This window comes from Homo sapiens, chromosome 3 (assembly GCF_000001405.40).
Source record: "Homo sapiens chromosome 3, GRCh38.p14 Primary Assembly".
NCBI classification, from domain to species: Eukaryota; Metazoa; Chordata; class Mammalia; order Primates; family Hominidae; genus Homo; species Homo sapiens.
The window spans coordinates 116,982,323-116,998,480 of record NC_000003.12 but is presented as its reverse complement, the minus strand read 5'-3'; positions in this window follow the sequence as shown (position 1 = coordinate 116,998,480).

Genomic DNA, 16,158 nt, shown 5'->3' with positions numbered 1-16,158 from the left:
AGGTTAAGAACTACAAAAGATATCTTAATCTTTCAAAGAGTAGGCATTAGGTAGAACTCTGCTTTAACAAATATTGATTTCTATAATGTTTTCAATTTTTCTAAATCTAAACTACATTTTGAAAAATGGTGACAATGTGAAACTGTGTAAGTGAGAAAATTCATGCAAATGGAATTATCTATATATGCACAAAAGTAGATTTGGGCTTCCAACATTTTCATCTTTTCAGGTCCTCCAGTGCATAGAGTCAAGAGAATTTTGAAATAGGTTGGGAGCAATGAGTACTTCTTATATCCAGTGAAACCTCGTTTCAAAGAAGCTCTTCATATGCAGTTGTGGATAGCTTAGACAGTGGAGCAGCCCGGGAATGAGGGGATCCAGCTTTGAGTTTTCTGCCTGTCCTTCAATCCTCTGTAATCTTGGGTAGCTTACTTAACTTCTCTGAGTGTATAATCCCTCATTTATAGAATGGAGATATAATTACTTGTCTCACATCTTACTCATTGTATTAAATGAGGTAAAGAAATGTGAAAACAACTTGTAAAAGTATAACATTACGTATAAATGGAAACAGTTATTAATAGAGTCTGTGCTCAAGAAATATTTCTAAAATTATTAAATATTTTATATCTCCTAAAATAACAAGCCTGGGGAAACAAGAATTGCTATAGAATTGTAGGACTAGAAGTACTGCAAACAATTTATCCCCATGGCTTCATTTTTAAAAATAAAATGCCAAGGCACAGAGAAGCTAAGTGAGTTTTCTCATGCCATCCATTTGGCAGGAATAGAGCCAATTCTCTGAGCTAGTCCCTCTGACTCCGAGTTGATTTTTTCCCAGCACAACCACACTGGCTCAGTTAATGTACATTTGAGTATACTATACCCTTTATTATTTTCACAATTAATCAAATACTTGAACCATAAAAAAACCCCTATTCTAAGAAAGGCAGACAGAACATTGCCCTTGAAATATCACTGCTTTGTCTTCTGTATTTTAAAATTTAGTTTCTTTGTTTCTACCCTTATATAAAGATACTTTCGTTTTTCTCATGTCATTTCCTTTTTTATTTTTAATTTCTTGGCCAATCCTTTTCTTATTTTCTGTTCTTTTTTCCACTTTTTTTAGTGCTAAGCTGTGATTATATATTCTATACATTTTTATACATTAGATATTTTTCTCAACATGATAAAACCAGAATGCGATGGACTCTGAGAGTGGATTCTAGCTGGGTTATTTGTCAACTATGTACAATGCATTTTCTTAATCTAGTTAGCTCATTGGAATATAAAAAAGTATGGCTTGTAGTTGGTGGATAATTTGATTATAAATAAGTCACATCGAATTTTCATTTCTTAACTGTAGTTAAAGGAACATACTGGTAGATCTTAGGTTTATTTATCATTGCTGCTAAGAATAGAAAATGTTGCAATGAGCACAAACTGCAACTCAAGAGATGTTAGAATACTTATCTGATTATGAAGGTTGTATCTATTAAACTTTCTTACAATCAAAAATTCTTTCTTTTGAAATCTCAGTAAGAGATCTTCTTGATTCTTTGAAAGACCTTTGTTTTCCATAGAAATTTAGGACCAGATGGACTCTCTTATTTTTAAAGTAGTTTTATTATAAAGTTCTTGAAGACAAATCCTTCCATTTCTCTCTCCAACAAAAGTTATCCAAGTTACAACTCTCCTCTTCCCAGGTGGAAATATGAACATTATATAATCATATTCTGAGAAATGCACAGAATGTTTTAGCAAATAGCTCTTTAGAAGTAGATGGAATTTCTTTATTACAATAATTTATTTTACTTAGACTTTAATAGGTTTCAAAGACTTAGAAGAGTAGCATATTAATAGAATGAAACACAGTAGTAAATATCGCTAGATTTATTTTCTGATTTCTCCTTTAGTATTAACTATGAAGCTTATTGCAAGACAACTAATCTCTGAACTTCCCATTCATAATATATAAAAAGAGACAGTATTACTTGCTTGAAGCCCTCTGGTAGACTGTACGTATTTGTGGGGTCTTTTCTCAGACCCAATTCTGTGACTTTCTAGGTCATGACAGGGAGACATTAAGTAACTTCAATAGAATGTAAATACAATAATTTCTTTCTCCAAATTACTGCTGCTAACTCACCCTTGAGCAGAAAGAAAATTCTTAAGAAGTAATACCATCTTGCTGAATTTGCAGATGTGGAAAAATGACCATTGATATTAATTCATGTTGTCTTCTGGAGGTAATTACTTTGGAGCATTGGGGAAATCCTGGACCTTGCCATCGGTCTTAGATTGGACTACCTGGGAAACAATCAGACAGATTTTTTCTTGCAGGAGATTTATTGGGGATCACTCTCAGAACAATACCCATGTGGGGCAAAGGAAGTGAGGTTGGGCAAAGGGAGAAGCAGAACTGCCATGTAGCTGCATTCAAGATCTCAGACCATTCTAAAGGTAATTTGGGAGCATTTGAGGCTGGTCCTAGTTGAGGCAAAGAGTGGTAGGGGCCCATTGTACCAATTTCTACCAAGTGACTTGTTACTTTCTTTGAGAGATGGTGCCATATCAGAAACTCAGCATTGGTCTCTGTGGCTGATAGTTTAGACAGTTGGATCAGACTTGGTGAATGGGACCCCATGGTGTTGGGCTCATGCGTAGCTTCACTTCCTGTCACCATGGCTACTCAATTCAGGTACACACTGTGTCAGCGCTTGGGATGGCTGATGACAGAGAATGGCTAATGTCAAGTGACATTGAATGTCACTGGCTGAATTCCTCTAATTGGTTTTAGTAGCAGTCTCCTACTTGTTAGCTGCTCTTCAGTATGTGTTAATATGTAATTCAAGGTTCTTCACACTTCATGGAATTCCAGAATCCATCTATCTACTTCTTCTCTAGATATTCTGGAACCCTATCTTTCATTGTCCTGGCAGGCCCCCGGCCAATCAGGTAAGGTATTCAGTGCTTCCTTTGAATTCCAATATATTTTTTATCTCAGGACAGTTTTATTTTCTTAAAAAATGTCAAGTGTACCACTCAAATCTCTACCCAGTGAAAGAGTTTTGCCTAACTCTTCTCTTTTAGGTTCACCCCTGAATGGGACTTTGGATAATGCAGCAGCAGTCCATCTTCAGCATATGGAGATGTCCTATCCATGAGCCAAGCTCAGACCTTTTTCTCCTCTATCATCTAGTCATAAGAGACTCCTCTCTACCTCCACACACATATTTATCGATAGGTATAAACTAAGGAAGAGTTACTGATGCAGCACAGTGGGTGACATGGGTTCTGGGCCACCTGTTCATGTAGCTTATCTGTACTCTCTGGCCTCGTTTATGCTGATCCCAGATTCCTCATGTCCATCTCGTGATGAATTACTGCTGGACCCATCTACCTTACGAAATGGTGGTTCTGACAGAACCCAGCTCATAATGGGCAGCTCTGACCTCAAAGTCGCTTGATTCCTCACCACCAGGCACTCCATTTCTACTATAGATCAGAAGTTGTTTTTCAAATGGTGTGCAAATCTCTGCTTGCAGATAACATGGTCTTGTTCTAGAACTTCAGGTGTCTAGATTTTGCTTCTCCGATTTTGGGGCTTGCCCTAAACTTCATATGTGTCTTTTCCCATGACAGATACTTCTAATACCATAAAGTCTGATGGATCATATTGTTCAAGTGTCAGGGTTGTAAGCATTGCAGGCCAGAGCTGCTGCAGAGCCCTTTCTTACACTCGGCCCTCCTCCTCTGTGGCAGCTTTCCAGATCACTCAGTAAATGAGGCAGGGTAGGTTTTTTTTAAGTGTGAAATACTCTGCTGCCTGAAATCAAAGAGGCTTAGCAGACATTATGCTTCTGTCTTCATGAAAAGAGGTGCAAGATGCTATAATGTGTCTTTTCCTTCGGAGGAGATGTCCTGGCATACCCAAGATAACTGGATCCCTAAAAACATCATTAGTATGGTATGTCCATGAGTCTTCGTAGCTCATATGTTTTACCAAAGCTTCTGACAATTTTTACTTATTGAGTCCATTTTAAATAACAATCTCAAAATAGTGGACAGATGCCATCTGTGGAATGTTTCAATACTCCAAATCCCTTTGAAATATATTATGACAGAGGGTGGAAAATTTAACTAGGCCTCTGGCAAGACTATAAAACTCTTGTTTTTCCCACATGAATGTGAACTACTTCTGGCTCTCCTTCCTGATGGGGATAGAAAAGAACCAGTCTAGCTGATCAGTGGCCATATATCACATACCTGAGACCGTGTTACTGTGCTCTAACAAAGATAACACATCTGGCTCAGCAGCTGCAGTTGGGACTATCTCTTATTGTTTTGGTGGCTTACTGTCACACTTAAGAATCCTTCTGGTTTTTATGCAGGAGCCAAGCTGGTGAATAAATGGGGAGATATGATGAGAACCACCACCTTTGCATAATTGAATGGTATCCCTAATTCTGTCATTATTCCCAGGATCCAATATTGTTTCTGATTTTTAATTTTGGCTAGGGCAGGGGCACTTTAAGAGGCTTCTATATGGCCTTCCCTACTATGACAGCTCTTATCTTCAGATCAAGGAATCTATATAGAGGTTTTGTTAACTACTGAGTATGTTCATTTCAACTATGTACAGTGGGCTCAATGTGAGCTGACCTTGGCCAGGACTCCATCTGACATTTGGACCATGTGTACCACCTTTCTAGCATGAGGGCCATTATGAAGCTTAAGGTCAGTGGATAACAATGTCACCTCGATCTTTGTCCAAGAGTCCTTGAAGTATCTGGATATCCCCATTTCCCCAGCGTATGATTACTTGAGTAAATGGCTACAAGCCACAGATAAGAGCCATGTTTGCAAAATTTATTCTGATGGGGATCCAGCCTCTCCTTCTGTCAGGGGGAACCAGGTCTGGCAAGTGGCTCAGGTGTGAAAACTGGGTTTGGGATAGTGGACTTTTTATGTGAGCAGACTCCCTCTGCCTCCAAATCATCTATCTTTGATTCTTTTGTTGTTACTGTTGTATAGCTAGAGCAATATCTTTGCTGGATGCCCATCTATCTTGCTCTTGGAGGCATTATCTTTTATTAACCATTTTTTAATAATTGCACATACAGTCTTGTTCCTGGTGATTAAATGCTTCTACCTGACAATCACCTTTGCAACCACCTTTGTTGCTATCAGGGAGCCCAGTTATTTAGTATCATCTCTTACTATTAGCTCTGGCCTACAGAGAGTTTCCACCACTGTGATGATTAATTCTGGTGCTTTTCTTTAAACCAGCAAATTCCATATTTCTTTAGTGAAGGAACTATTTTCCAGGCCCTTCCATGAAATGGCATCATGTGATAGACTTTCTGGCCTTAAGTCATATATCCACTCTACTATACTATCCACTTCTTTGAGACTTTCTACCACCTACCATGAAAGATTTAGCATTTCTACTTCATTTGTATGGATCGTCACTTTATCCAAGCTTCCGGAGTTATCCTAGGAATATCATCTCCCAGTGTTCTTGCTAGAATGTTAAATTCTTTACCATGGGGGAATGCTTTCATATTAATAAAAATCTCCCTTAGCCAACCTTATATTCCATTCTTATTGGTCAGGACCTTCAGGATATACTTGCATATATACTATCTCATGGGATCCAAGCCCACATATACAAACCCAGCTCCTGCCAGCCTGTTAGTAGGCCCTGAAGCTCCTTCAGAGTATCATCCCTGTATTTCTTTTAACAGGCTCAGTACTCCCCTGTCTGGGTTATGCTGAAGCTTAATCCTAGTTATTTGTCTGATATCTAGAAGAAGTGGGTTCTCAGAGGGTTTGTTGTCTTGCAATATCATAGCCTCTGCATTATCTTCAAAGAAGAAATGAGCACAGGTTTTTAACAAGTAAGGATGAGATTCTTCTGGAGGCCTAGAGTGCTTAGGGGATCCTGGGGATTCAATATTTTTGAGTGGGTCAACCCAGATGTCCCCACACTTAGTCCCAGAGTCCCACTCCTAATTTTGGTAGCCATCTTGTGAGCACTGGAAATTCAACTTTCTCTGGAGTTCTGCTACTCTTACAATTAAGCCTTAGGTCCAATCCTCAGCTTTTTCTGTTCTCTGGCTATAGGAGAAGAGAGTTTACATGTTGCCATGAAGGCCTTCTGGCACTCAAACTGTGCCTTATATTGATGATTAATCACCTTTAGCCTTTTGTTGTCTTTCTCCAAGGCACTGATCGTCCTTAGCAATAGTTATCTGATTCCAAAATCTTTATAATTAGGATTTCTCCAAACTTCTTAAGCACCTGTGATATTGCCTGTAAAATTTCCTACACTGAAGGGAAATTTTCTACACTGATGGAAGTTTTAAGAATTTCACTGCAACCAGGTGCCAGGGGCTATCAGTGCCCCACCTACCACTGGAAATGAGAGACTCAGTGCCGGCAAGCCAGAGATGAATACAGCTCTTAGGTCAGGTTTTTTGAGAAAGAGAATCTGAGACAGAAAATTACTAATGAAAGCTTTTAGAAGAGCTCTTGGAAACAACACCTATGAGAGATAGGAATACAGGACTGGGCAAAGGGTGAAGCTGAACAGCAATGCAGTACAACAGAGGCTTCCACCAACACTATGGGGGATTTCCGGAGCCAGGATCACTCCCTCTCCCACCTGATACAAGGGGTCCATACCTTTGTATCCTCACAGTGACCAATTATTGGGTGCAGGTTGTCCTCAGGAAAGGAGTAGAGCCTTGGGTGAAGCACTTTCCTTTAATGCCAACTACAGGAGAGGGGATCCAGCTATGAGCAATCAGCAGCTAAGACTCCAGTCACATGGAGCAGGAAGTGCCTTAATCCTAAATAATTATCTGGGAAGTGCACTGCAATGTCCCCTGTATTATCTTCTCTGTGCTACTTTATGGTTTTTTGTGTGTATTTTGTATATTTTCTTTTTTTTTTTTTTTTGAGACGGAGTCTCACTCTGTCGCCCAGGCTGGAGTGCAGTGGCGCAATCTCGGCTCACTGCAAGCTCCGCCTCCCGGGTTCTGGCTATTCTCCTGCCTCAGCCTCTGGAGTAGCTGGGACTACAGGCGCCTGCCGCCACGCCCGGCTAATTTTCTGTATTTTCAGTAGAGATGGGGTTTCACTGTTTAGCCAGGATGGTCTTGATCTCCTGACCTCATGATCCCCCCGCCTTGGCCTCCCAAAGTGCTGGGATTACAGGCGTGAGCAACCGCTCCCGGCCTACTTTATGTATTTTTAAAATATGTTATTGCAGGTATTTTTATGTATTCCTTCATAGCACTTTATTATTGACCAAGCCACAGAATTACTGAAAATGAACACATTTCTAAATAAAACCGCCCATTCTGCCCATGCCCAACACATACATGCATACTTTTAAAAAACCGATTTCAGCTTTTCAGTCATTTCACTAGTGTGCTGACATTACCCAAATAGCAGGCTCCAAGAATTAAACAGCATGGCTCAAAGGGAATGGATGTGGTTGTACCCTGTAGGAATTTTGCTGGCTCACAGCTCCCTGATGCTTCAGAAGTACTTTAACGTACTACAGTGCTGCAAAATATTGACTCTAAAACACCTCTGTCCTGGAATAGATCCACTCAGGAAAAAGCTCTTGAACCTCTGTTTCTTCCTTAACAATTGAACAGCTGTTACATTGTTACGAGTTTTTGTGGTGGTGGCGATAGCAGTTGGTGTGAGTTCAAAGGGCAGAAATACAGGAGTAATATTTAAGGAGATAAGAAAATACTTTGATAATTCAAAGAATTTGATAGAAAAATCATTTCTCTAATGTTCAATTGGTAATACTATGAAGCTATTGTAAGAAATATTTGTTTGCAGGAATACTGCTTCATAGCATGACAGTATAGAGGAATGGCATTGATTAATCAGGGATTTCTAGCTTCTAGTCCAATTTTCTCTCTTCTTATACAGACTAGGTAACATAAACAAAACCCACATCCTCGAGTGTCAAAGATGCAGTCTGAAATGAACAGTAAAGTGTCTCTTTTGCCAAGTCTCTTCATTTTTGTGCACAATTTATTAGTGCAATTGATAGAAAATATGGGTCATGTTTTTTCCAATCAGAATCCCCTTGCTCTAATCTCCTTCATCGTTCAACAACTGATTGAACAAAACTGGGTCCAAGGCTTCAGCATTTATGCATTTGCTATAGATTTGTATTTAAATCCTCAGAGCTAAAATGTAAGGGAATAAAAGTCATGCTCAAAACCCAATGACTAGGGCCGGGCACCAGTGGCTCACTGAGGTCAGGAGTTTGAGACCAGCCTGGCCAACATGGCAAAACCTCATCTCTACTAAAAATACAAAAATTAGCCGGGCGTGGAGGTGGGCTACTTGTGAGTAGTCCAACTACTTGGGAGCCTGAGGCAGGAGAATCGTTTGAACCCAGGAGGCGGAGGTTGCAGTGAGCCGAGATTGTGCCATTACACTCTAGCCTGGGCGACAGAGCCAGGTTTCCTCTAGAGTTCTCCCTTTCATTATATTAGCTGACTTTTTCACATAAACAATATGCCGTGACTCTTGAACATATATAAATACCAACTGCTGTTATAATCAAGTACATTTTGTAACATACTTAATATGACCTAAATTCTTAAATATAGTGAATTGTTTTTCTGTAAGAACAAATAATAATTTTTTACACTTTTTATCTGTCATTCTGAAGTCAACATCCGTGTTGAAAATTACCTGATGCATGTGTTATTTATCATATACACATTAAATGACCGTGGTACTAAGTGATATTGTAGACTTAGGGCTTGCAGACCTTCCGTTGTCCTTTCCACACTATGCTGCTTGGCTGAAGTCCACTGTCTTCCGTGAAGTCCACTCACATCTAATCTTTTAAATCCTTTATTGTTATTCTGTTCCTTCAGCCACACTGACGTCTCTGAACCAATGTCCTTGAGCAGCAGTTTCTGTCCTGTTCTCCAGCATCAGGTCTCTGGGATGCTGGTGGCTGGAACTAATCCAAAGTTGAATTAAGCAGCAGTGAAGGAGAGCATGAGAGCTTACATTCCCTTGCTTCCCTCAGGGTAGGGGCAGGGTTAGGGTGCGGGTGTGATGGGGTGTGGCGAAGAGGGAGTGGGCAGGATGGAATTGACTCCCAAGTTAGATAAAACTGTAAGTTTGTGCCGTTACATTCCTGGTTATTCCTCAAACACAACAATTTTGGGCAGATATGAAATAAGAAAATTTGTAAGATAGAAGACTTATATAAGATATAAGATAAATTTTTTTGAGTGTAGCTATGTTATAACATAGTCCTGGAGATCTATTGTACAGCATGGTGACGATAGTTAGCAATATCAACTATTGTGTTCTTGAAATTTGCTAAGACAGTAGATCTTATGTGCCTCACCACACACTCAGATACACACAATGGTAACTATGTGAAGTAACGGATATGTTAATTAGCCTGATTGTGGTAATCATTTCATAAAAATGTATAACTATATCAAAACATCATGTCATACACCTTAAATGTATACTATTTTTATTTGCCAATATCTCAATAAAGCTGGGGTAAAAAATGAAATAAAAGTGCAAAAGTCCAGGAACACCTGATACAATTTTGAAAGAAAAAAATATGATGCAATTTTGTGGGAGGAGGCTTGCTCTTGTCAAGGTTTACAATAAAGTGATAGTTATTAAGATAGTGTGGCATTGAGTCAATGATAGACACATAGGGAACTGGATTAACATTTTAAGACACACTCAATTGTATATGGATTTAGTATATAAGGTTGTGGGATGTTTTTTGTTTGGTTGGTTGGGTGTATTTTTGGAGAAAGGGTCTCACTTCATCTTTCAGACAGAAGTGCAGTGGTGAGATCACAGCTCACTGCAGCCTTAGCCTCTTGGGCTCAAGTGATCCTCCCATTTCAGCCTCCCAAATAGTTGAGACTCCAGGCGCATGCCACAATACCTGGCTAGTTTTTAAAATTTCTCTAGAAGTGGGATCTCATCATTTTGCTCAAGCTGGTTTTGAACTCCTAGCTTCAAGCATTCCTCCTGCTTCAGCTTCCCAAAATGCTGGGATCACAGACATGGGCCACCACACCTGGCCTCAGGTGTAATATTTTTAATTAGAAAAGTAATGTAGGGGTTTTCAGCAAATGGTATGTGAACCATAAGCAACACAGAAAACGGTAAAATTCAATCTTTGCATTACATTATAGTAAAATAAATTCCATGTGCTTAAAGAATAAACTATTAAAGATCATATTTATGAAGAAATATGTATTTTCATGTTTTTTTTTTTTAATGAGACAAGGTTTTGCTCTGTTGCTCAAGCTGAAGTGTAGTGGGGCGATCACAGTTCACTGCAGCCTCAAACTCCTGGGATCAAGTGATCCTCCTGCTTCAGCCTTCCGAGTAGCTGAGACCATAGGCATGCACCATTATGCCCGGATAATATTTTAAATTTTTTGGAGAGACAGGTCTTACCATGTTGCCCAGGCTGGTCTCAAACTCCTGGGCTCAAGCAATCCTCCTGCCTCGGCCTCCCAAAGTGCTGGGGTTACAGGTGTGAGCCACCATTCCTGTCCTCCTGTATTTTTATCCTTATATAGGTATACCTCAGAGATATTTCAGGTTTGCTTTCAGATAACTACAATAAAGAGAATATTGCATAAAGCAAGTCACATGAATTTTTTGGATTCTCAGTGCATATAACAGTTATGTCTATACTATATTGTAGTCTATTAAATGTGCAATAGCATTATGTGTGAAAAGAAAATGTGCATTCCTTAATTAAAAATGCTGTATGGCTAAAAAATGCTAACGATACATCTGAGCCTTCTGGGAATGATAATCTTTTTGCTGGTTGAGGGTATTGATTTGATTTTGTTGGCTGCTGACTGATCTGGGTGGTGGTTTGTGAAGGCTGGGAGCAGCTATGGCAATTAAAGAAAATACGACAACAATGAAGTTTGGCATATCACTTGACTTTTCCTTTCACTGTGCTTTCTCTGAAGCATGTGATGATGTTTGATAGCATTTTACCCACAGTAGAACCTTTTTCAAAATTAGAGTCAATCCTCTCAAACCTTGCCCCTGCTTTATCAACTAAAGTCAAACTAAAGTTTATGTAATACTCTAAAAATATTCTGTTCTGTTCTATTCTATTCTAATTTTCTATTCTATTCACATCTTTAGGTTTCTTTTTTTTATTATTATACTTTAAGTTTTAGGGTACATGTGCACAACGTGCAGGTTAGTTACATATGTATACATGTGACATGCTGGTGCGCTGCACCCACTAACTCGTCATCTAGCATTAGGTATATCTCCCAATGCTATCCCTCCCCCCTCCCCCCACCCCACAACAGTCCCCAAAGTGTGATGTTCCCCTTCCTGTGTCCATGTGTTCTCATTGTTCAATTCCCACCTATGAGTGAGAATATGCAGTGTTTATTTTTTTGTTCTTGCGATAGTTTACTGAGAATGATGATTTCCAATTTCATCCATGTCCCTACAAAGGAGATGAACTCATCATTCTTTATGGCTGCATAGTATTCCATGGTGTATACATCCCACATTTTCTTAATCCAGTCTATCATTGTTGGACATTTGGGTTGGTTCCAAGTCTTTGCTGTTGTGAATAGTGCCGCAATAAACATATGTGTGCATGTGTCTTTATAGCAGCATGATTTATAGTCCTTTGGGTATATACCCAGTAATGGGATGGCTGGGTCAAATGGTATTTCTAGTTCTAGATCCCTGAGGAATCGCCACACTGACTTCCACAATGGTTGAACTAGTTTACAGTCCCACCAACAGTGTAAAAGTGTTCCTATTTCTCCACATCCTCTCTGGCACCTGTTGTTTCCTGACTTTTCAATGATTGCCATTCTAACTGGTGTGAGATGGTATCTCATTGTGGTTTTGATTTGCATTTCTCTGATGGCCAGTGATGGTGAGCATGTTTTCATGTGTTTTTTGGCTGCATAAATGTCTTCTTTTGAGAAGTGTCTGTTCATGTCCTTTGCCCACTTTTTGATGGGGTTGTTTGTTTTTTTCTTGTAAATTTGTTTGAGTTCATTGTAGATTCTGGATATTAGCCCTTTGTCAGATGAGTAGGTTGCGAAAATTTTCTCCCATTTTGTGGGTTGCCTGTTCACTCTGATGGTAGTTTCTTTTGCTGTGCAGAAGCTCTTTAGTTTAATTAGATCCCATTTGTCAATTTTGGCTTTTGTTGCCATTGCTTTTGGTGTTTTAGACATGAAGTCCTTGCCCGTGCCTATGTCCTGAATGGTAATGCTTAGGTTTTCTTCTAGGGTTTTTATGGTTTTAGGTCTAACGTTTAAGTCTTTAATCCATCTTGAATTGATTTTTGTATAAGGTGTAAGGAAGGGATCCAGTTTCAGCTTTCTACATATGGCTAGCCAGTTTTCCCAGCACCATTTATTTAATAGGGAATCCTTTGCCCATTGCTTGTTTTTCTCAGGTTTGTCAAAGATCAGATAGTTGTAGGTAAGCGGCATTATTTCTGAGGGCTCTGTTCTGTTCCATTGATCTATATCTCTGTTTTGGTACCAGTACCATGCTGTTTTGGTTACTGTAGCCTTATAGTATAGTTTGAAGTCAGGTAGCGTGATGCCTCCAGCTTTGTTCTTTTGGCTTAGGATTGACTTGGTGATGCGGGCTCTTTTTTGGTGCCATATAAACTTTAAAGTAGTTTTTTCCAATTCTGTGAACTCATGCTATTTCCACCACATCTGCAGTTACTTCTTCCAGTTGATGTCTTAACCCCCTCAAAGTCATTCATGAGGGTTGAAATCAACTTCTTCCAAACTTCTATTAGTGTTGCTATTTTGACCCCATTTCATGAGTCATGAATGCTCTTTATGTTATCTAAAATGATGAATTATTTCCAGAGGTTTTTAATTTACTTTGCCCAGATCCATCAGAGGAATCATTATCTATGGCAGCTGTAGCATTACAAACTGTATTTCTTTATTTTGTTTTATTTTAGATTCTGGGATACATACAGAATGTGCAGGTTTGTTACATAGGTATACATGTGCCGTGGTGGTTTGCTGCACCTATCAACCCATCATCTAGGTTTTAAGCCCTGCATGCATTAGGTATTTGTCCTAATGCCCTCCGTCCCCTTGTTTGCAAGTCAAAATTATTCCTTGATCCATGGACTGTCAAATGGATGTTTGCATTAGCAGGCATAAAAACATTAGTCTTCTTGTACGTCTCCATCAGAGCTTTTGGGTGACCAGCTGCCTTGTTGATGAGCAGTAATATTTTAAAAGAAATATTTTCTTCTGAGCAGTAGGTCTCAAATTGGGCAATTCAGTAAACCATACTGCAAACAGATGTGCTGTCACCCAGGCTTTGTTGTTCCATTTCTAGAGCACAGACAGAGTAGATTTACCGTAATTCTTAAGGGCCCTAGGATTTTCAGAATAGTAAATCAGCACTGGCTTCCACTGATTGTTACCTGCTGCCCTAGCCCCTAAGAGAGCCTGTCCTTTGAAGCTTTGAAGCCATGCATTGACTTCTCTGTAGCTATTAAAATCCTAGATGGCATCTTCTTCCAACACAAGGTTGTTTTGTTTACATTGGAAGTCTGTTGTTTAGTGTAGCCGTCTTTATCAATTATCTTAGCTGGATCTTCTGGATAACTTGCAGCAGCTTCTACATCAGAACTTGCTCCTTCCTTCCCCATGTATTTTTCTTAAACCTCATAAACCAATCACTGCCAGCTTCAAACTTTTCTTCTGTGGCTTCCTCACCTCTCTGAGCCTTCACAGAATTGAAGAGAGTTAGGGCCTTGCTTTGAATTAGTCTTTGGCTTAAGGGAATGTTGTGACTGGTTTGATCTCATATCCATATGGCTAAAACTTCCTCTGTATCAGCAAGAAGGCTGCTTTGCTTTCTTATCATTCATGTGTTCACTGAAGTAGCAGTTTTAATTTCCTGCAAGAACTTTCCCTTTTCATTCACAACTTGGCTAACTGTTTGGCAGAACAGGCCTAGTTTCAGCCTATCTTGGCTTTCAAGATGCCTTCCTCTCTTAAGCTTAATCATTTCTAGCTTTTGATTTAAAGCAAGAAATATGAAACTTTTTCACTTGAACACTTGGAGAATGTTGCTGGGTATGAACTGGCCTAACTTCAATACTGTTGTGTCTCAGAAAATAGGGAGGCTTAAGGAGAGGGAGCAAGACAGGGGAATGGGTAGTAGGTGGTGCAGTCAGAACTAATGTATGTATCAATTAAATTTGCCATTTTATATCAGCATGACTTGCGGCACCCCAAAGCACTTACAATAGGTAACATCGAAGATCACTGATTACAGATCACTGTAACAGGTATAATGGAAAAGTCTGAAATATTGTGAGAGTTGCCAAAACGTGACACAGAGACATGATGTGAGTAAATGCTGATGGAAAAAACAGTGCCAATAGAGTTTCTCAATGCAAGGTCACCACAAAGTTTCAATTTGTAAAAAGTGCAATCTCTACCAAGAGCAATAAATCATAGCACACTAAAGCAAGGTATGCTTATACTTCAGATTTGCTAAGACAGTGGATATTTGTGTTTTCATACACACACAAGTTAGCTAGGTGAGATGATAGATGTGCTAATTAAATAGATGGTGGTAACCATTTTGTAATCGTATGTGTATCAAATCATCACATTGTAGACTTTATATACTACTGTACTTGACAATTATATCTCTATAAAGCTGAAATATAAAAAATAATCAGCCTCATTAAATTTAGAATTGCATGCATTTTGGGATTTTTTTGAGGGCCTGGTACAAAATTGCATACAGTACCCTGTTGATGAGAGTCCCTGCATGCCTCTCAGGCCCCAGGTAAGGAATGAATGGGCCTTCCCTGTGCTTTTTTAAAAAATAGAAATTATAGTTCATTCAAAGCAAGGAAATAAAAATGTCTAGCCATCCTGAGAGAAAATAAGGCCTTGCAGTGAACATTTATTTACTGGCCTTACCGCTATCTTTATCTTAATATCTTTTTATATTTTTTATACTTATTTGCTGTTGCTCCAATTCCTTTCTTATTTTCATGATATCTCACTTAGGTCCTTCACTTTGTTTTATAGTTTTGAAGAGAAGGTGTAGGTTTAAAAGGATATATAGTGAAAGGTCTCTCTATTACTAAGTCATGAGAAGAAGTCTTTCTCTCACCTCTGTCCTGCAGTCATCCAGTGTCCTCTCTGGAATCAATCAACACAATCATTGCTTGTGTATCCTTCCAGAGATATACAGTATCTCAGGATATAGACAGGTAAGCTCATCTATAATGAAATTTATGTGTGATCTACTTATCTAACTAGTTAGCTATTCTCTTCTCCCCCTCCCTTTTTCTCCTCAAAAGTTATATGAGTCTACATTTACTTAATCTATGTTGAAGATTATTCCCTATTAGTATATGGCTTCTTGAATATTTTGTGGAATGATACTTCACTATGCTGTGTGTGTTTATCCAGTCTCCTGCTGTGGTATGTTGTTTTCAATATGTGTAATTACAAACAATGCCAATTGCAAATAATATCACAATAATTACACTTGTCCATACATCATTTAGTACATGTATAGGTATATTCCTAGGACAGATTCCTCAAAGCCGAATTTATGGCTGAGGGATGTGGACATTTGTGATTTGACAAATATTGTCAAGTTGTCCTACATTGTGTTTGACCATGTTATGCTCCCAATGGCAACTGTGATGGTATTACACATGTTTCTGTAAGCCATCTCAAATCCTTTCTTTAAAATGTTGAGGAATAGATATCTGATTGAGGTAAGTAATTAAAATGAAAATTCAGTTTGGTTTTAGGCACAGTAAGATTTAAAAATTAGTGAAGCTTCTCCATGATTGTGTTGATGGAGAAATATATAAGCTAAGTGAAGGATCCGGTAACTGCCAGCATACCACTGTAGTTTTAACTTTGAATGGATAACTGCAATGGATATATGGATGGATGGATGGGTGGAGGGATGGATGGATGGATGGATGGATAGATGGATAAATACAGATAGATAGATAGATACACTGATATATGATTCACAGGAGATCCGACAGCAATTTCCCAGTTGGTAGTGAAGGAGAGCAAATCAGCAAAA